The sequence below is a fragment of the Homo sapiens genome, chromosome 12 (genome assembly GCF_000001405.40).
Source record: "Homo sapiens chromosome 12, GRCh38.p14 Primary Assembly".
Lineage (NCBI taxonomy): Eukaryota > Metazoa > Chordata > Mammalia > Primates > Hominidae > Homo > Homo sapiens.
This window is the reverse complement of record NC_000012.12, coordinates 24,836,933-24,858,297: the sequence shown is the minus strand read 5'-3', so window position 1 is coordinate 24,858,297 and position 21,365 is coordinate 24,836,933. Positions and strand designations below refer to the sequence as shown.

The 21,365-nt window shown below is 39.9% G+C and overlaps 1 protein-coding gene across 39 annotated transcripts in view, besides 1 other annotated feature; it reads left to right on the top strand.

The window, feature by feature from the left end:
• BCAT1 (branched chain amino acid transaminase 1) overlaps positions 1-21,365 on the top strand; it is a 139,317-nt gene that overhangs the window by 91,043 nt on the left and 26,909 nt on the right. For 37 of the 39 annotated variants that reach the window (NR_182105.1, NR_182109.1, NR_182107.1 and 34 more), the window contains 2 exons: positions 8,349-8,512; positions 16,074-16,216. Coding sequence is in view for 31 of the 39 variants with exons in the window: in NM_001413107.1 (NP_001400036.1) it covers positions 8,349-8,512; positions 16,074-16,216 (307 nt within the window). In the remaining 8 variants the exon portion in view is untranslated. The remainder of the gene's footprint in view (positions 1-8,348; positions 8,513-16,073; positions 16,217-21,365) is intronic. The other 2 variants (NR_182106.1, NR_182108.1) reach the window with 1 other exon arrangement.
• Positions 18,497-18,686: a silencer, noted in NCBI's record as "silent region_4291". NCBI's record gives its function as "represses an Ori minimal core promoter by ATAC-STARR-seq in GM12878 lymphoblastoid cells {active_cell/tissue: GM12878}" and the evidence as "EXISTENCE:reporter gene assay evidence [ECO:0000049][PMID:35858748]".

The window sequence follows — 21,365 nt, the reverse complement described above, 5'->3', positions numbered from 1 at the left end:
AGTGCTTATTTTTCAAGCCAATTAATTAGAGCTCTTTTCTATGCATATCACACATACAACACACAAAAATACACAGACAGAAGACCCAGTAGCTGTTAATTTTTTCATTTGCCAGCTTTTAAGAATCTTAATTGGATTACTGGCTTCAGGGTGGAGCAACGTGTGGGGACAGAGCCGGGAAAACATGCAGTTTCTGGGGCCTAATAAACAGGTGCAGTTAGAAGGCAAAACAGATTCCCCAAAATTACAGATCTCATTTTTATATTGGATTCTGGATCCCAAAAAGAGGGAATCAGCCCATCCCCTCTGGGAGTTTTGGAAGGTGTAGAAGAATGTTTCCATACCTTCTAGGTGGCCAAGAGCATGCTTCTCTGATCCAAACGTGCACAGAGTGGGGTATTCCCCTATAACTGCTATTAGCCTTCCCTTAAAGCATATTTCCTGCCTAGTTATTACACACCAAGGTTAAAAGCTCTCCCATAATGCAAAGTAATTTCTGATACCCCTACAAGTAAAAAACATTAGGTAACACAATGCAAATCAGAGCAATGCCTTGGATTTTGAGAGGGATTTGCTTGCCTTCAATTCCTGGGGTTCCATGAGGAAAACAGATTTTTCCCAAAATGGAGCCTGTGGTGCTCCCTCAGTTTTTTCTAAGGAAGCCCAGGCTGTTAGAAATGATCTTAGGTCCTCTCAATGTGGGCATCAAGAGTGGCAAGAAAACAAAATGAGAAAAACAATTCAGTTGACTGAGAAGAAAAAACTTTTATCTAGAAAAAAATCAATATAAAACCTGCCAGATAGATAGATAGATAGATAATCTTGGACATCACTTTTAATTAAGCTGACTTTTAACCAAATCTCTTATTATCAGACTCTAGCCAGGACAAACAGCTAATATTTCTGGCTTTTGAACTTTACCAAAAGTAACCTCCCAGGTGAAACCAATAAGCCTTAACTAAGGTTATGATTTAACCACAGGTGTGGGAGGTATTTTCAAAGAGGTGGTAAGCAGTTTTTACAAGATCTGGAACCTCCAAACATAGCTCAGAGAAAGGAAGATTCAAGACAGGGAGTCAGAAGTTGTTCATGAGGGGAAGATAATTAATAAATGGCAAAGGTCACATAGATATCAAACCAGAAAGGACTCATTCCCGAAGCTAGGAATTGAATCCAGGCCACCACTGTGAAATAGCAAAGCCTTAGTTACTGAGCTGCAGTACTGCACAGTCTCCATTGCTCCTCCGAGAAGGAGCCTAGAGCAGCCAATTTTGAGCTTGCAAAGGCTTTTAACTGCTCAAGATAATTTTTAGGACTAATTGACAGGAACCCCAAAATTCACACCCTCTGGATGGCAGAGATCAGGAGAAAGTACCCCCACGTGGTTACAAGGTCAAGCTTTCAAGGACATAAAACAAGACGAGAGGGAAACTTCATCCAGTTTTTGTTTCAGGGACCTGCAGAAAAGTTTGTAACTGACCAGTTTGCGGGCCAGCTTGAAGACCAGATTTGTAGGATTCCTAGGCCTGCATTCTATCCTGTGGCTAGCTAGGGCTGCCATAATAGAATATTACAGACTAGGCAGCTTCAACCACAGGTGTTTATTTTCTCACTGCTCCAAAGTCTAGAAGTCCAAGATGAGGGTGCCTGTAAAGCTGATTTCTGGTAAGAGCTCTCCTGGCTTGTAGATGGCCACCTTCTCCCTATGTCCTCTCTGGGCCTTTCCTCTATCTGGCCAAGGGAGCTATCTCTGGTGTCTTTTCCTCTTCTTATAAGGACAGCAGGCCTATGGATTAAGGCCTCACTTTCATGTCTTCATTTAAGTTTAATTACCTCTTTAAAGGCCCGATGTCCAAATACAGTCACACCGTGGGTTAGGATTTCAACATAGGAATTTTAGGGACACAATTCAACCCATAATAGGAGGGCATTGGAAGGAGAGTGTTCCAGGCAGAGGAAGTAGTGCAGTAGAGCATATGGAAGTAGGAAAGTGAGGAGCAATGGAAGGGGTTCAGTATGGTTTGAGCGTGGGGTGTGTAGAGGGTGAAGGCTATTTCACCCAGTGCAGTAAGCTCTATCATCCACACCGGGGTTTTACAGTGGGAGAAAGGAGGGTGTTTATTTGCAGGTCAAGAAGCAAACAGAATCAGGGAGCTCATGCTTAAGACCTGAACTCCACAGTGGCTTACATGTAAGGTGCAGAGGTTACAGGCAAAGGCATCAATCAACACATGGAAGCCATATATTGGTTTGGCCTAAAAAGGTGGGATATCCTGAAGTAGGGGCTTACAGGTTACAGGTAAATCCAAATATTTTCTGATTTGCACATTGTTTAAGGAAGGGGATATTTGTCTAAAGATGGGATCAGCAGGCCAGGTGTGGTGGCTCATGCTTGTAACCTCAGCACTTTGAAAGGCTGAAGAAGGAGGGTAACTTGAGGCCAGGATTTCAAGACCAGCCTAGTCAACATGGCAAGACTCTGTCTCTAAAAAAAATAAAAAAGAAAAAAAGAAAAAGAAAAAAAATAAAGATGGAATCAGCAGAAAGGAATGTTAGGTCTGGCCCATGGGCGGACTTCCTCCAGACTTCTCAGAAAGAAATTTAAGACAAAGAATGGTGCCAGGCGTGGTAGTTCACGCCTGTAATCCCAGCACTTTGGGAGGCTGAGGAGGGTGGATCACTTGAGGTCAGGGATTTGAGACCAGCCTGGCCAACATGGTGAAACCCCATCTCTACTAAAAATACAAAAACTAGCCGGGTGTGGTGGTGCACGCCTGTAATCCCAGCTCCTCAGGAGGCTGAGGCAGGAGAATCGCTTGAACCTGGGAGGTGGAGGTTGCAGTGAGCCAAGATTGCGCCACTGCACTCCACCCTGGGCAAGAGAGCGAGACTTGAGACTCCATCTAAAAAAACAAAATGGAAAACAAAGAATGGTGATAATTCAGTCCTCAATTCCTTTTCTTTTTTTTTTCTTTCTTTTTTTTTTTTTTTAACTGCTCCTGCGGAGCAGGGCTACCTCATAGCCAGTATGTCCAGAGTTGTCTCAGTTCCCTCGTTATCTGTGGTCTGGAGGATCCATATGATGGTGATCCAGGTTCTGAAAAACAACTCTGGAACATCTGTTAAGATGTTATCTTTAGTTTCTATAGGAAACCAAACATCTTCTGACTCTGACCTCCTTGGTGATTATTTTAAGCTACTGTTTCCCTTTTTGCTTATCGAGTTGCTCATTTACTTCTCAAGGCTAGCAGGATGACTGGACTTTCTCTTGAAGGAACTCAAGCTGTTCCTTTATTTTTATGCTCAGGGGCGGGGGGCACTCAGCAGGTCCCTAAGAGGTATCCCCGCTGTGTCTCACTATGGGTGAAGGCTCAGCGGGAAGAAAGCTAGATACCAGTTGGAACTCTCTTAAAGTAAGGAGATCTTGGGTACTTTATTAATATTTTTTTCAAGCTTTGGTAAAGTATGAAATAACTCTGGATTAAGAGGAGAAGAACTAGAACTTAATAACCATGACATTTGGGCAAATTGTTTGAAGCCTCAGTTTCCTCAACCTAAAAATAGGAATTATAACTTTTTGAATTGTTCTGTTGTATGAGATAATGACAGTGAAATATTTTGGAGCCAAAAAGCAATGCATACTATTGGGGGTTATTATTATTTTTTGATCTTTCAGCAAGCCAGCTATAGTAGCTTTTCCTATATAAACACAGTATGAATTCAGTGCCCTCGCTTTCCTGACCCTCACAGCATTCAAGCCCTGTATGGACCGCTGAGCTCTCCCTTGAAGCACCCCTTAGTCCAGTATTCTTTACTATTTTCCCCTTTAACAATTTAAACTTCTTTCAAAACAACTGGCAGTAGTTTTTTAAAAAAGAAAACAGGCTACTCTTCAAATTAAAAAAAAAATTGTCTTGCTTTAGGAAAAATGTTCTTCTGTCTTTTCCAATTATCTTATTTCTTCTGCCTCTCATCTGCCTTGCCTAGGCAGAATTATTCTCAAGCCTGCACATGCTGCTGTGCCTCTCTGGCTTCTAGGCCAAAACATAGGCTAATAGTACTCTTCTCAGCTCACTGAGCTCTTTCCTGCCGTCATTCAAATCACCTCTGAAATCCTGCCTTTTGATAAAGTAATTTCTGACTGATCAGAGGAAAGTGATGATTTTCTCTGTGACATGTCTTTTTATTTTCCATCACACTCAGTGTCTTGTCCTTCTATGCAACATATCCATGTATTTAAAAACCCTTGTATATGTATTTGCCATGTATTTGTGAGGTATAGCTCGTGAAGTAAAAAAAGTCTTTATTTTTTTAAACACATCATCATTTCAGCTTCAAAGTCAATGTGGTCTCTTGAGAAGTTAAATATGCTGCATTTGAAATTTTATGTTTCTCATTTTTCATGTTTTTTTTTAAAGCCCCTTTTAATTCCTCATGTATTTGAATATTCCAGGAAGCTAGTAGAGTAAAAAGCCAAAGTGTTAAAGTGTTTATAAGGAATGTGACTCATCGAAATTGACTCACACAATTCATCAGCTATTGTCATCCATATGTTCTCATTATTTATGTGGCTTTTGCTTTATTTAATCAGATGACTGAACTTATCATCGTGGGATTTTGCTTGTAGTTGTTTAATATTATATAATAAAATACTCTTGTGTGAAACAAGTTAATTGACTTTTTTTAATTAAAAAAAATTTATGTGAGAGTCAGGAGTTACATGTGCAAGTTTGTTACATGGGTATATGTTGTGATACAAAGATTTTAGCTTCTAAGGATCTCATTGCCCAAGTAGTGAACGTAGTACACTATAGGTAGTATTTCTAAACACTTTTCCCCTCCCCCTCTTTTGGAATCCCTAGTGTTTATTGTTCCCATCTTTGTGTCTATATGTACCTAATGCTTAGCTCTCACTTATAAGTGCGGACGTGTGATATTTTGGTTTTCTGTTTCTGTGTTAATTCATTTAGGATAGAGAGACTCCAGCTGCAGCTGTGTTGCTACAAATGACATGAGTTCATTCTTTTTTATGGCTGCATAGTATTCCATGGTTTATATGTATCACATTTTCTTTATTCAGTCCACCATTGATGGTCACCTGGGTTGATTCCATGTCTTTGTTGTTGTGGACAGGGCTGTGATAAACATATGAGTGCAGTTACCTTTTTTTGTATAACAGTTCATAATAAAATACTCTTAACAGTAGCACAGAATTTAGATTGCTTTTCAGGCTAGAAGGGATAATTGAAACATAGAAAAAAATAATGACTCCTAAGCATAGAAACAGACCCAATCATAAAGCTCTCTTCCTCTCTTTCTGCCTAGTGTTAGATCTTATTCATTGTCTTAAAGCACTGTGACCATTTTCAGTGAAATCACAGTTTTATTCATGAAAAGACAATGAATTGGTGTAAGTAATCATTTGAGGATGAAGGTGACTAGTCTGTGATCAACACCAGTACTTGAAGTACTTGTAAAACATGAATTGACCTTGGTTAAATTGCAGAAAATAAAGTATTAGTATACATAAACACATTTTCTCTCAGCATTGAAAAGTTATAGTCTATAATTTACCTGCTTGCTAAGAATAAAAATATTACTTAGAGGTTTATCAAGACCTTTTTTCTACAAATGGATTTAATGTACAGAATTATTCCATTTTCTATCTGTGCTCTGTATACTACCACCTAGTGGAATAAAATGCAAATTTACCTGTCAAAATCAGGAGAAGAAAATGAACCAGGGGAAATTTATTTCAGGAAAAAATTTTCATAACACGTTATTGTTACTTCTTTTAGTATAATGTAGTTTGCATAAAATACATTAGTTTGGAGTGAAAAAAGTCCCAGCCATTTTTGTGATAGCTATTAAAATGCTATTAGTTTGTCCACAAATAAGCTATTCTATTCAGAAACTTAGAAGCTAGGTAAATTATTGAGATGATGCCAGCATATTATATCTCTAAATTATGTTAAGAAGCTTCTCTAAATTCCTCATCACTAGGGTGTATTAGTCCATTTTCACACTGCTATAAAGAACTACCTGAGACTGGGTAATTTATGAAGAAAAGAGGTTTAATTGACTCACAGTTCTGCAGGCTTAACAGGAAGCATGACTGGGAGACCTCAGGAAACATACAGTGGAAGAAGGTGAAAGGGAAGCAAGGACCTTCTCATGGCAGCAGGAGAGGGAGAGCACAGGGGAAGTGCCACACACTTTTAAACCATCAGATCTCAGGAGAACTCACTCACTCTCACAAGCACAGCAGGGAGGAAATTCACCCCCACGATCCTATCATCTCACACTGGGCCCCTCCTCCAATTTGACATGAGATATGGGCAGGGACACAAATCCAAACCGTATCATAGGATTTGTTAAAAAAATCTAACATGTTCTGCTTCAAGGCACCCATGAAATGAAGGTGTCATTTCTTAACTGAGAGGTTAAATAAAAGTGCAGAGATAAGATGGTTAAGTTTTATCGTAGCTGGGAAGAAAAGCGGGTGTGTGTATTATGCTTAGGTTTTTCCTCCCAAACAATGAAACCCAAAAAGGCAAATGAAGCTTTAAGGCGCTTTATCCTTTACTGGTAGGATGGTCCTCCTTTAATCTTCAGTCTCTGTTAAAGAACAAACACAAGCTAACAATCAAAACCTGTTGTTGCTTGCTGACGGATTTCTCTAACATAGTCTTCCATCAACCATCATAGGTTTGTTGTGGCCACCCAGGCCCTTTGGTCGTCATGTTCCCATGGAATGCTAATGAAATTACCTTCCCATTTCCTAAGGTGACATGCCTTTCAGATGGCATTGGTGTGTGCTTGTGTAAACACATTTTTTTGTGCTCATGAATATTTTACCTGCCTGATTTTGGTGATCTGAGTGTTGAGCAGTGGGTGAGGGATGGTGGGGCAATGGGTAGTAAGGGGAAGTTTAATTGAAGTTCAGATAAAAATATCCCTCCAGAAACATTACAAAGCCACAAAATCAGCTGAAGTTGAGTCTTCTATTGTAAAGATTCTCTTTCTTCTCCTGACAGATCCCCATTCCTATCCAGGTAGACCAGGCTCTAGTGAAGATTGGACACAAGTGGTTTATATCCCGAAGCTCTTAACCTAAGAGTCCTGCCTTGTTTTTTTACTTCATGTGGTCTTATATTGCTGAGGATAGCCCAGTGATCATTTCTACCTTAATATGTAGCCTTCAAAACGTTGGGTCTCTCAGTTTTCTTCCTTAATAAACAATGAACCCTAATTATTTATAACTGCTCTTGTGATGGAGGAATTGGCATGATTTTGCATTGTGGGCTTCTGGCTTTACAGTGTTTGTGGGAAAGATGGTCTTCTATCTTTGTTATTTATAAGTCATTCATTCCCTGTTTTTTTGAAGATATTGTTAAATAAAAAAACTTCAGCTGAATTAAATTTAAAAGTTTTTAATTGAGCAAAGAACCATTCTCAATTCGGGCAGCCTTCCCATCCAGAGTAGTCCCTGTGACTTCAGTGCAGCCACATGGTGGAAGAGGATTTATGGACAGAGGAAGGAAAGTGACATACAGGAAACAGAAAAGAGATTCAGAAACAGCTGAATTGGTTATAACTCAGCGTTTGCCTTATTTGAACATGGTTTGAACAGTTGGCCACGTTTGATTGGCCAAAACTCAGTAATTGGCACAAGAGTAGGCTACCATCTGTTTATAATGTCCACTTAGGTTATAGTTCATGATGTGCAAAGAAACCTTTAAGCTGAGCTTAAAATGTAATGAGGCAGCTGTAGGCTAAACTTGATTTAACAGTACTTATCCCTCTGTTGAAATTGCACTCTTGCTACCTGCTAGTTGATGTGGGCAGGTGTGCTAATGACACATTCGCCTGCACCTACCACCTGCTGAAGACCCTGCCATGTCCTGAAGCAGTCACTTAGGCTATGAAACAGAAGGATGAGTTAGAGAAGTAAATATTATATTTTACCCCCCAAAGCCTAAAACCATGTCTAGGTTCTCCCCTTTCTCAATTCCCAATCATGCAACCTTGAAAGGTGTTATATAGATAGTTGTTAGAAATATGTCTGTCCTCCAAAACCCTACTAACACGCAAAAATGGACAAATCTAGCTTTTTTGCTAAAATCCTAACAACTCAGAAAGCAAAGCAAAATGAAATGTATGTACTCCATTCTCAGGATTTCCTTCTTAAAAACCACTAGGCTTTGTGTAACTCAATTTTAAAAGTATGGTAATAGCTCCTGTAATTCGATGGCTTCTTCTGGGAGACAGATATAAATCTATTCTAGACTTTAAGACTGGTGTCCACATTTTAAGTTACAGTTGTATGTACTTCTACTTTGTTGCAGCCTTCTCTTGGAGTCAAGAAGCCTACCAAAGCCCTGCTCTTTGTACTCTTGAGCCCAGTGGGACCTTATTTTTCAAGTGGAACCTTTAATCCAGTGTCCCTGTGGGCCAATCCCAAGTATGTAAGAGCCTGGAAAGGTGGAACTGGGGACTGCAAGATGGGAGGGTAAGTAAATCTGTGTCTCTGTCTAAAGGAAAGACACCTTCATGACCATTTAGTTAGTGCCATTTCACTTCAGTATGAACACATATAATACTTTTCAAACTTTAATGCTCATTGTGTTTCATGGTTAATTTTCAGTTTAATCTTTCAGCAAGCCAGCTGTAGTAGCTTTTCCTATATAAACGCAGTATGAATTCAGTGCCCTCGCTTTTAGATGTGCTAGTTTAAAGGATAGCCCATGGCCCTTTGTAAGGGAGAAACACTGGATATGATATCTAGGGAAGAACTGAAGTAAGAAACTACAACAAGCATCACATCGGTGCTTTGGATAAACTTCCCCTGGGCGCTGGTCTCTGGCTGCAGGCTGACGGCTGGCATTAAAAAGCATCTGGTCCTGGGACCCAGGCTCTCAGTTGGCTCCAGGGAGTCATGTCTGGGGAAGGTGCCCGCTTCACTGAAGTGCTGTCTTCATTGCCACAGATTGTGGCCACACCTGCTGCCAACTGGCTGCGGGACAGCCCTGCTTTGGCTCTGTCAGGCCAGTCTCATAGGCCATATGTAGCTGGCAGGAAATAAAAGAGCATTTGAAAAGTGTTGGACGATTTCAGGGGTGGACTTGGCCATGAGTTGGGAATGCCCCTATGGGTGAACGAGAATAACTGGTTTAAGCAGCATGGGTTCTTGCTTTGCATGTATCAAATGGTGCTGTTTGCATACTCAGGGCAGCAGCTGTCCTAGAAGGTGACTCCATGGCAGTCTTGTGGGCCCTGGTAGGACATTTAGGTCCAGGAGGCAGGGGAGAGTCACATGACGTGCTGCTGGGGTATTAGAGGCAATGACCACTGGCTTTGACCCCTCTGTAGTCTTGCTGTATTTCCTTTTTCTTTTCTCTCCTCACCTACCCAAATTAAAAAAGAACGGTTATAAAAGTCATCCCCACTGGCAACTTTAGCAACTGCATTCCCTCAATGGGTAGAGAAATCCAAATGGAGTGCATTAAAACTAGGAAGTCTATTCTCCTTCTGGCTTAGAGCACACCTTCCTGTGTCCTAGGCTAGCCAGGTTGAAAACTCCTTTTTTTGACTCTTGATTTCTTTTTTTACTGGTTCAAACTTCTTCGCAGAGCATGTGCCTATGTACCACTGCATACCATATATATACCATATATAGAGAGTAAATAAACAGTCTTGATGAAAAGTAATAAGGAAAAAGTTTCCCTGTTTAAAATATTGCTTTCTAGCTCCCCGACCTGTTTAGGAAAAAGATAACCTGGGGACACAGAAATTGCAGGGCAATCTTTATTAACCGGTATTTGGGCAGGTTGTAATTTATTTTGTAAACAATGATTTAATGCACTATTGCAGAATACATGATCACTGTAGGCCAGTTAAAAATTAATGTTTTCAGTACCACACAGAGTGAACCCTAATGTAAACTGTGGACTTGTGGACCACACTAATGCAAGATGATAATAAGAAGAAAAACTGAGAGGGTGTTCGGGAAGGGGTATAATAGGGGAATTCTGTTACCTTTTGCTCAATTTCTCTGTGAATCTAAAAGTACTCTAAAATAATAAAATCTATTATAAAAATATTTGATTCATTAGGCTCAGGTGGACTATGATCCATGGAAATTGACTTGAAATCTCTTAGGAAAGGAAGAGACCGGAGAAGAAAGTATTGAACTCATAAATTAAAAATGGCAAGAGGGAAGGTGGTAACCAAAAGGATGGGCATTTAACCTATATGCCTATCACTTCCAAAAAGTTCTAGGGCCGTCTCCTCCTATGCTTCTGACCTGGAGAGGTACAAGGGGAACAAAATATTCCGCATTTAATATTATCCTGTTGAGTTGGCAAAGACATTTGGAGTCAACTTTAGTTTTGTGTATTATTACATCTGTAAACCTAATTAAGTCAACAGTTACCCTTGACACCTGTAGTCAACTGGTATTATTAAATAACTATTGAGTCTCATAAAGTCAAGAACTTTCTGCTTTCTATCTAAGTGAATCTAGGGCAGAGACTGAGCATCAGGATTCTTTAGCATGCAGCCAAGCTTGAGAAGCACTGAGCTAGAGAAAGGTCTTGCACTGTAGAAACAGCTTTAGTTCCAGGTGATTCCTTGGTTAATTTGGGAGGAATAAGGCTTTCTGTCACTCTCTCTCTCTTTCTCTCTTTTTCTCTCTCTCTTGCACATGCACACGTGCACACACACACACAAATTATCTCTCTTAGTTTTTTCTTTTTTCCTTGCATTCTGATTCTGCATTTAAGAGTACAAGCTTTGAAGTCAGAAAGACCTGGCTTAAAAACCTAACTGTCATAATGGTGCGTAAATGTCGTTATAGATTTGTCCAAACCCATAGAATGTACACCAGGAATGAACACTAATGAAAACTCTAGACTTCAGGTGATAATGGTATGTCAATGTGGTTCATTAATTTCAGCAAATGTACCACTCTGGTGTGAGGCATTGGTAATGGTAGAAACTATTCATTTGGATGGGGAGAAAGGGATATGGGAAATCTTTGTACTTGCCTTTCAGTTTTGGTGGGAACCTAAAACTGCTCTGAAAAAAACCTGAAGTCTTTAAAAACAAACCAACCTAATTGCCTTGGGCATGTTACTTAACTGCTCTATGTATCAGTTTCCTCATTTTTAAAGTTGAGGCAATAATACCTTGCACAGATTAAGTGAGATAATAGAAAGTGCCTAGGATAGTACTTGGCATATAGAAAGCTCTCAGCAAATGCAGTATGATAACCTAATGGTTAAAAGCTTGGGTTTAGGAGTCAAATGTCTGGGAGTTACACACTTAACTATCTGTGAGATCTTCTACAACTGAATCCTCTCTCCAAGTCTTCCAATGAACAATAAAGTCTAGGGTTGTTTTTAGATGACTCAATGAAATAATGTAGTTAAGTACTTAGCACCCAGTCTGGCAGGTATGGGTTGCATATCTCTTATCTGAAATGCTTGGGACCAGATGTGTTTTGGATTTCAAATTTTGGAGTATTTCTCTTTGGGCATCCCTAATCCAAAAAATTCGAAATCCAAATTGAGCATCATGTTGGCACCGAAAAAGTTTTAGATTTTAGAGCATTTCAAAGTTTTAAATTAGGGATCCTCAACCTGTAGTAAACTCTCACAGTCACTGATGTTGTGAGGTTTTCTCACTTTCTCATTTCATTTCCTGGACTCTCTTTATCTTAGAAGAAATCAGTTAAATTTTACATAATAGAATTTATTCTTTTGGAGGGATGTATTTAATATGTCTATTCTCCCAGATAACCTATTTAAAACCATATTGAAATGTTTCTATGTCAACAGCTTTCTTACTTTTTCATTTTTCTGTTTCCTCCAAGAACATGTTTCTCTTATGAATATTGGCAGCACATGGGCGGGAACCCAACTATATTACCATGGTATCAGTTATCCTGTGGACATTAATAATACAGCTTACACCTGTGAGAGAACTCTGGGAAAATTAAAACTTGTTTGGGGGAATAAAGACCATCTACAGAATATAATAATACATCAATCAATCAATTAAAACTTAAACATAAAAAACCCTTTTCTTTTCAGTGCATTGAAATAGTCACTGTCTTTAATCCTCTTTCCTTGCTCAGTGCTTCATGAAGCTGAGGAGCCATGGTTTTAATTCAGCTACACTTTCAGAAATGTGTATGCATTTGTATTTAGAAGCTTCTTTGAAAGGCTAAATATTCATCCTGTAAGAATTCTCTATGTGTTTTTTAATACAGTCTAAAGGGCATTTTGTATATGAAAAAATAATTTATTTTCAGGTAGGGTAAAACTTCACTGCTTCACTACTTCGTAGTTGTGTCTACGAATGAGAAAAAATTCAAATAAAATAGTTATTATTATTAGTTTTTAGAGATGCAGTCTTGCTGTGTTGCCCAGGCTGGTCTGGGACTTCTGGCCTCAAGCCATCCTCCTGCCTCGGTGTCCTGAGTCACTGGGATTACAGGCATGAGCCACCACACCCCACTGAAATAGTTATTTTTTAAAAAACTTAATTTCATTAGGATGTAACAGTCTCATGTAACTCATCCTTTGGCTTTTATTGTTATTATTTATTTTTTCCAAGCAACCCAATGAGATATATAAAGCAGATATTTTTATCTGCCAGATAATTAAATGAGGGAAAAATAAGGACTAACTTGCTTAAGTTCACATATACCAAATAGTGGAAATGCAAGAGCTGTCCTCAGGTCTGTTAACAACAAACCTGTGGTCTTTCTACCAGACGTCCCCTGCAATCTGGTTTATACTCATTATTAAAAAGCATTTGTAATTTAACTCAGTTATCTATTTACTATCAGTTATGAATAAGGATTATTTGACTTTTTATGGTCATTAAACAATAGCTTCCTATCTGTTGTCTTTGTCTTTTTAATTTTTATTTATTTTATTGTTTTTTTAATAGCTTCCTATCTGTATACCAGACTTGCTTCATCTCCACATTGACCAAGAATTTATATTTTGTCATCTGTATTTAGAAGCATATGTTTTAAGCGTCTTTTAATGGCTCTTTTTTTTTTTTTGCTGGGAGGGGACAGTCTCGCTCTGTCTCCTAGGCTGGAGTGCAGTGGCACCATCTCAGCTCACTGCAACCTCCGCCTCCCTGGTGTGAGTGGTGCTCCTGCCTCAGCCTCCCGAGTAGGTGGGATTACAGGCGTGGTCCACCAAACCCAGCTAGTTTTTTATATTTTTGGTAGAGACAGGGTTTCACCATGTTAGCCAGGCTGGTCTGGAACTCCTGACCTCAAGTAACTTGCCCACCTCAGCCTCCCAAAGTGCTGAGATTACAGGTATGAGCCACTGTGCCTGGCCCTTTTAAGGACTCTTTTTTTTTTTTTTTTTTTTTTTGAGACAGTCTCACTCTGTCGCTCAGACTGGAGTGCAGTGGCGCGATCTCGGCTCACTGCAAGCTCCACCTCCCGGGTTCACGCCATTCTCCTGCCTCAGCCTCCCGAGTAGCTGGGACTACAGGCGCCAGCCACCACGCCCGGATAATTTTTAGTATTTTTAGTAGAGACGAGGTTTCACCGTGTTAGCCAGGATGGTCTCAATCTCCTGACCTCATGATCCGGCCGTCTCGCCTCCCAAAGTGCTGGGATTACAGGCGTGAGCCACCGCGCCTGGCCCTTTTAAGGACTCTTAACATTACCTTGGTGTGAGTCAACCTCATCGTGCTCCAATGGCAATCACCATAGTATGATGTCTATTTTCCACAGCTTACTGGAATATTTCAGCTATTAGTCAATATTCTTTCAGTTGCAAGTCAGAAAACCAACTTGAAATTATTATTTATTTATTTATTTATTTTTTTGAGACGGAATTTTGCTCTTGTTGCCCAGGCTGGAGTGCCATGGCACAATCTCGGCTCACTGCAACCTCCGCCTCCCGAGTTCAAGCAATTCTCCTGCCTCAGCCTCCAGAGTAGCTGGGATTACAGGCATGGGCCACCACTCCCGGCTAATTTTTTTGTTATTTTTAGTAGAGACGGGGTTTCTCCATGTTGGTCAGGATGGTCTCAAACTCCCAACCTCAGGTGATCTGCCCACCTCAGCCTCCCAAAGTGCTGGGATTACAGGCATGAGCCACCGTGCCCGGCCTGGAAATGATCTTAAGCAGACAAGGGCTTATGAAACTAGGATGCTAGGGGCTAAAGCAATTATTTCCAAGTTTCTTGTGTCCTTTGCACATCCCCCTTTTTCTTCCCTTCTTCCTCTGCCTCTGGTCAGAGCTTCTGGCTCCATGTTGGCCTAGGGCTCTCCCACTTCAGCCGCTTTCTTCTGTGAAGTGTGGTGATCATGGACACAGCCGACCCCAGTTTTACAGCATACCAAGTAAGCAACCCCAGAAGGGAGAAAATGCCTGTATTTCAGGTTATAGACATTAAAATGAGTGAATGCACCCAAAAAAGGAATCATGTGACTGTCTTAGGTTATATGCCCACCCTTTAACTCAGCTGCAGCAGGGCAAGATGCTATATTGTCATCAGTTGTGGTAGGGCAAGATGCTATATTATCAGTCCAAGCAGAATGACATAGCTCTATAGAAAGACTATGTTTTTATAAGAGTATGGAATATAGTGCAGATGAAAACAGTAGATATACACTAACATGTGGCTCTAATGTTTAATTTTTATTTTTTTTGAGACAGAGTCTCACTGTGTCACCCAGGCTGGAGTGCAGTGGTGCTATCTTGGCTCACTGCAACTTTTGCCTCCCGAGTTAAGATGATTCTCCTCCCTCAGCCTCCCTAGCAGCTGAGATTATAGGCACCCGCCACCACGCCCAGCTAATTCTTGTATTTTCAGTAGAGACATGGTTTCACCATGTTGGCCGGGCTGGTCTCGAACTCCTGACCTCAGTGATCCGCCCATCTTAGGCTCCTAAAGTGCTAGGATTACAGACATAAGCCACCGCGCCTGGCCTCATGCTCAACTTTTATTTAGACAACAGTACAAATTGTAATTTTACCCAGATGTAAAAGAGTCTAAGAGACCTAAATAGATATTTTGTGGTAGATTACATTAATGTAATGTAATGTAATGTAGGAGTTTTACATTACTACATTTGTAGTTGTTTTAGTTGTTTTTCATTGTTTGTTTCTGTGTATTTCTGGGGATTTCATGGTGCAACAGGAGGACTAGAGTTTATTCCCGATCCCTGACTGTCTTACGGCAGTACTTCTCAGACCTACTGAGTTATACAACCAGGGGTGTAGGGAGGCAAGCAGTCATCACATTTATTTGAGGACTCTCATGTTTTGTCTAAAATATTCATCCTTATTTTATAATATACTCCATAATTTTCCCATATAAGTTTAGATAAAAGATGATACCTTAAAAGTATTATAACACTAAATTGTCATTCCGGGAAAATGTGCTGTGTTCCTTTCATTTTAAATAATCTGAGATGAATGGTGCAGGCTGAGAAAAATAGGCTTTTGAAATACTTTTTGGTCAACATCGAGACTTTTAACATTTGTCCTATCTTTTAGGGGAATTTAGACATTGGGCATTATGTATTCCTTGGATACATTAAAAGGTGTTAGATAAGAGCGCTCACACTTGCTGCTCTTCTATTGCAACTTGACAGAAGTTACTTCTCTAAACCTTAGTTTCTCATCTGAACAATGGAAATAATGATAGTGTCTATCTCATAGTATTGGTGTGAGATTTAAATGAAATAATTCATGTAAAATTGCTTGGTGTGTGGAAACATAGTAACTTTTAACTGTTCTCATTAACTTGGCTATTTACCTGTGTTCTTCTATCATTACATTTCAAGTTAAAATTTCAAGGTTTCACGTTGTTCTCTCTCCAATGAATGCAGTTAAATCACTTAGATTTTCTAATGAGTTTTCCTTTAATGTTATGCAGTTGACTAGAGAGTGTATATATATTAAGAACATAATACCTTCACTATGTCCACATGTGAATTAAGAGCTTGAGGCTATCAGAGGGTAGAAGATGAGGGAGTGGGGATGAAGTATGTTTGTAACCTGTGTATTTTCTCTTTCTTAAAGGAATTACGGCTCATCTCTTTTTGCCCAATGTGAAGCAGTAGATAATGGGTGTCAGCAGGTCCTGTGGCTCTATGGAGAGGACCATCAGATCACTGAAGTGGGAACTATGAATCTTTTTCTTTACTGGATAAATGAAGATGGAGGTAATCCACTCAGATTTCACTGTGTGCATTTCTCAGTCATTTTCAACAGGACCAGAAAGACAAGAGCTAGAAACTTAGTACAAGGGAGTAAGTAGCACAGTTCCAAAGGCTAAGTAAGGACTACTGTGCTTTTGCTGCCCAAATAGACACAAGTTTCTTTTTTTTCTTTCTTTCTTTTTTAAAGAGGTGGAGTCTCACTATGTCACCCAGGCTGCAGTGCAATGGTGTGATCTCAGCTCACTGCACCCTGGTTCAAGCAATTCTCCTGCCTCAGCCTCCCGAGTAGCTGGGATTGCAGGAGCCTGCCACCATGCCCAGCTAATTTTTGTATTTTTTTTTTTAGTAGAGATAGGGTTTCACCATGTTGGTCAGGCTGGTCTTGAACTCCTGACCTCAGGTGATCCACCGGCCTTGGCCTCCCAAAGTGCTGGGATTACAGGTGTGAGCCACTGCACCCGGCCGAGTTTCGATTTAAAGAAGCTCTAGAGGTTTTTTGTTTTTCGTTTTTTGTTTTTCTGGCTCTAGATGTACTGATTATTGAGATACTGAGATGTCACATTAAGGGATTTAAGTTACCATGATTGGAAGATTTGCTTCCTTATCCCTTCTGCAGTTCCCCAACAATTTTCCTATCTGAACACCTTGCATTGAGACACAGGTCTCAGATCAGGTCAATGGTCATTCACCATATACCGTATATAAAATGCTAGAGTAATAAATGCAGTGTACTGATTCTACTGGAAGGATTTTGTGTACTCTCTGGCTGTAATTGTTTTAACAATTGTTGCCTTTTCTACATATTTTGAAAATGTATCACAATCTCTCCAAATTTACTCTAGAACTCAATCTGATTAAAGAGCACCATTTTAAAAGATAAATCAATGTATCTTGGGATTGTAACTAGATCCTGGTTCATTCAAGACAATTTCATATATCCACTATAGATATCAATATTTCTCTATTATCTTTAATATCCTGAGTACTCATTACTTTTCTTTGCTGTTTTTTTTTATTAGTTGGCAGAGACCATAGGGGTTCAGTGAAGTGTTGGCAACGTGTATGATATTGAATTAAATGGCCAACGGTGGGAGAAAAACAGGCATTTATTTCTATTAGAATTTTGATAATCATACCAAATTTAGAAGCGTATTTTTAGACTTGTTTACATTCTTAGGTTGTTCATTTCACAGTAGTAATTATAGAGACTAGAAATATAAATGATGTTTCCAAATACTTATGAAGTCTCAGTGTTAGTAGTTTCAATTAAATTTTTTAAAATGCAGTTTATATTTGAAAGTAGCTACAGTAGCCTCTCTTGCTCTAATGTTATTTGGCTACAAAAAGAGGAAAATGGTAATTTAGATGTGGCTGAATTCAGAGCTAAGTACTAATTTTAGTGTTAGTTGCAGAGACTAACAAGATGAGTCTTATACTGCAGTCAGAGGTAGAATAAACAGAAGATATGGTGAGTAAGCCTTGTCCTGGGCTTGGCCATTGGTAGTCCTTGGCATATGAAAAACCAGATACAGATCATTCTCATCCTTCCATTCCTGCTGTTTGTACTTGGCACTGTTTGAAAATAAAATTTATACAGGAATATTTATGATTTATAAATTTGAGTTACTGTATGTGACATATAACAAAAGCTACACTTGGAAGATTGTAGCCAGTGTTGACCTCTGCACTTAGAAGATAATAGGCCGATTCAACCCTTCTTCCCATCTGCCCACTCTTACCCCCACCCCAAACTCCACCAAAAAACCACACAGCTCAAAACAAAAACAGTTACATCATTCAGAGGTGGTACCATCATTATTTTTATGGATGGGAGATGTCAGAATTTAAGTACACTCTGAATCAGAGCTACATGATTTAACCAGAAACACCAGAAACTGTCCTGGTGGAAAATTGTTCTTTATCCAAACAATAATCATGAAACATTTCCACCATGGCTTTTAAAGGTCAGAATAGAAATGAGTGAGTTTGTCTTCTGCCTCTTGCAAAATATACAAGACCTTAAGACTGTTAGTTACTATTCAGATTATGGTTGCCTGGGATAACTTTAGTTTTAATATACTCCTTCACTTTGGGGATGTTCATCTAACAGAACAAATAAAATTCAGAATAAGGAGAAAGGAAATAGAATATATATTTGAAGTAAATAGAATGTTAGGAAAAACCTTTGGGCTAAAAAAAAAGACATGCAATTCTGAAGTAACTTTGATTTATATCATATGATTTTAAGAAAATACAATGAACAAACGAGTTGAAAATCAGCACAATACTGATTTTCACAAACGTTACCGATAGGAGGTATAAACAGAGTTCTTTCGGTAATAGCCTGCCGTCTTTTCATGAGCGCCCACACACACTGCTCCTGTTGGTTGAGATGGCTGGTGCAGGAAGGTGGATGGGGTGGTGGATAGTGTGTGTTCAAAGCACAGTGCTGTGCACAGTCACTATGTGTGGCACTCAGCTTGTAACTCATGGGAGTTTTGATTTCAGTAACAGCACCCATGGTGGCAAGATCACACATCATCACTCTGTTGATGAGTAATTTAACCCATACGCTTGCTATTCACCATTTGAACAAAGCATTGTATCATATCCTGGACCCTGGAGATACCCTGAAAAATAAGACCCAGGCCTTGTGGTTGAGTTCACAGTCACTTTGGGAAAACAACCACAGCAGTGAATCTCGGTATTGCTCAGGCCACATCATGAGTCTTCTCGGACACGTCAGGCGTGTATACGGACTCGACTTGGAGCACTCTTCCTCAGATGTCTGTACCGCTTGCTCTTTGACATCCTCCAAATCTTTGCTTACAAATCCCATTCTCAGTCTGGCTTTCCTTGAGCTCTTAATCAAAATCATAAACTCCATTTCCCATTTCTCCTCAGCATTCCAGCATTCTCCATTGCTTTTCCTTCTTTGTTTCCCCCTGTGTAGTCTAACATACTATCAACACAATAAATGTTTACCTGTGTCTATTAGAAAGTAAGCAGGGAGATATGTCAGTTTTGTTCACTGCTGTATTCATAGAGCTTAAAACGGTAAACAGCACTCAATATGTATTTGTAGAATAAATGGCTAATTGTGCTGATGGTGTTTAGGGCACTTATGCAGACCTACATTCCTGGTTTCCATTAGTGTTTGACTTTGGGAAGTCACAGATGAATCCTGCTGTTATTGCTTCTAAATTCCTCATCTCCTAAAAATGACTTCTTTGTCAAAAACAAGCTGCATTTGTAGGTTCTGTTTTCCTCATGTTGGGCAATCTGGAGTGATTTCTGGCTCTTGTAAGTATGTTTGTGGTTGCAGAGGAAAATGAATATTTCTCACCCAAATGTTGTCATGTCATCATCTCTGTCTGGCAACCAGAGAAGCAGATGTTCTGTTCCTTGACCTCAGGCTAGTGGTTACAGTTCTGGGTGTTAAACATGTTTCACAAAACAGCACTTGCACATGCGGGGCTGCTGTTTTCATTTAACTTCATGTAGTCTCAGGGCTCAGCAAGCTTTAGGAAAGGTCCGGTTTGGGGGCACTGGAAGTGTGTGTGTGTGTGTACATATATATACACACACAAATAGATCCATACATTTATGTATCTAGTTGGCTAGCTATTGCAAAACACATGTTTATTTTGAGATCATCAACACTTCTAAACATGACAAAGAGTAGCCCTAAGAACATTGCCAAGAACAAATTTTCTCCTTTCCAGAAAGCAATTTTCAGCAGATGATTTTCAGAAACAAAATTCAAAAAAGCCATACTGCTGTATCCTAGCAAAGATAACTTATTCGTTTATTTTTTACTCAAAAACATTTATTATATACACTCTGGGCTAGGCACAATGCCCAGTTTTGAGGATAGAAGGATGAAGATAGAGTTTGGTATTCCAGATAGAGCTTGATTGTTGGGCATGTCTGATGTAACCCCAGTGGAGTGGGCGAGCCTAGAACCACCATGTATTGAGGGAGAGGGTGGTGGCCTCAGTGTCAGGACTCACTAGATTCAGACTCCTGGGTGTCAGAAGTGGGGAGGAAAGGGAGATGCTGAGTGCCAGAGGGTACTGTAAGGAGAGCTTGTGCAGCTGATGGATCATGCATGATGCCTGTGAACAATTGTCCTACTAGACCTCACAGTAGTTAGGGATGTCTGCAGTCATCTCACAGTAGAGCAGTAGCTCAGCTTTGGAGTTTTGTTTCTTGAATGTCTTCTTTTTTAACCGTACACGTGCTTGAGCTCACTCTGATAAGCCCATTACATTTGAATCTCAGAGAGCAAAGGCAGCATCTCCATACTTGTTGCTGATGCTCCACCAGGTTTGAAAATCACTAAAGATAGACTCTTAGGCTGGGTGCGGTGGCTCACATCTGTAATCTCAGCACTTTGGGAGGCCGAAGTGGGCAGATCATCTGAGCTCAGGAGTTCGAGACCAGCCTGACCAACATGGTGAAACCCCGTCTCTACTAAAAATACAAAAATTAGCCAGGCGTGGTGGCGCGTACCTGTAATCCCAGCTACTCAGGAGGCTGAGGCAGGAGAATCACTTGACCCTGGGAGGCAGAGGGTGCAGTGAGCTGAGATGGTGCCACTGCACTCCAGCCTGGGTAACCTAAAAAAAAAAAAAAAAAAAAAAAATTAGACTTTCCAAGGGCAGCGTGGAAGCAGTGACCAGCCTGAGTAGGCACGCACACTTCTTGGGGATAGCCTCCTCCATAGCATTCTTAGAAGGTTTGGTAATGACCAGTTTTTCTGAGTAAGACCCTATCTACATTATTCTAATTAGTAACCACCTTTCATCTGCTAAGGTAAATTTTCACTTCAGAATATTCCTCTTAAGACCATGCAATAACTCTTACTGTTTGTTGGTGGAAAACCATCTCATTATTTTACTGGTTAAGGGTAAACTGAAGATGATTAGATAACTTTCCTTCCTTCCCTCCCCCCTTCCTCCCTTCCTTCTCTTTCTTCCTTCCTTTCTCCCTCCCTCCCTCCCTCTCTCTTTCTTTCCTTCTCTCTTTCTTTTCTTTTCTTTTTTCTTTCTTTCTTTCTTTTTTCTTTCTTCCTTCCTTCGTTCCTTCCTCCCTCCCTCCCTCTCTCTCTTTCTTTCTTTCTCTTTTCTTTCTTTCTTTCTTTCTTTCT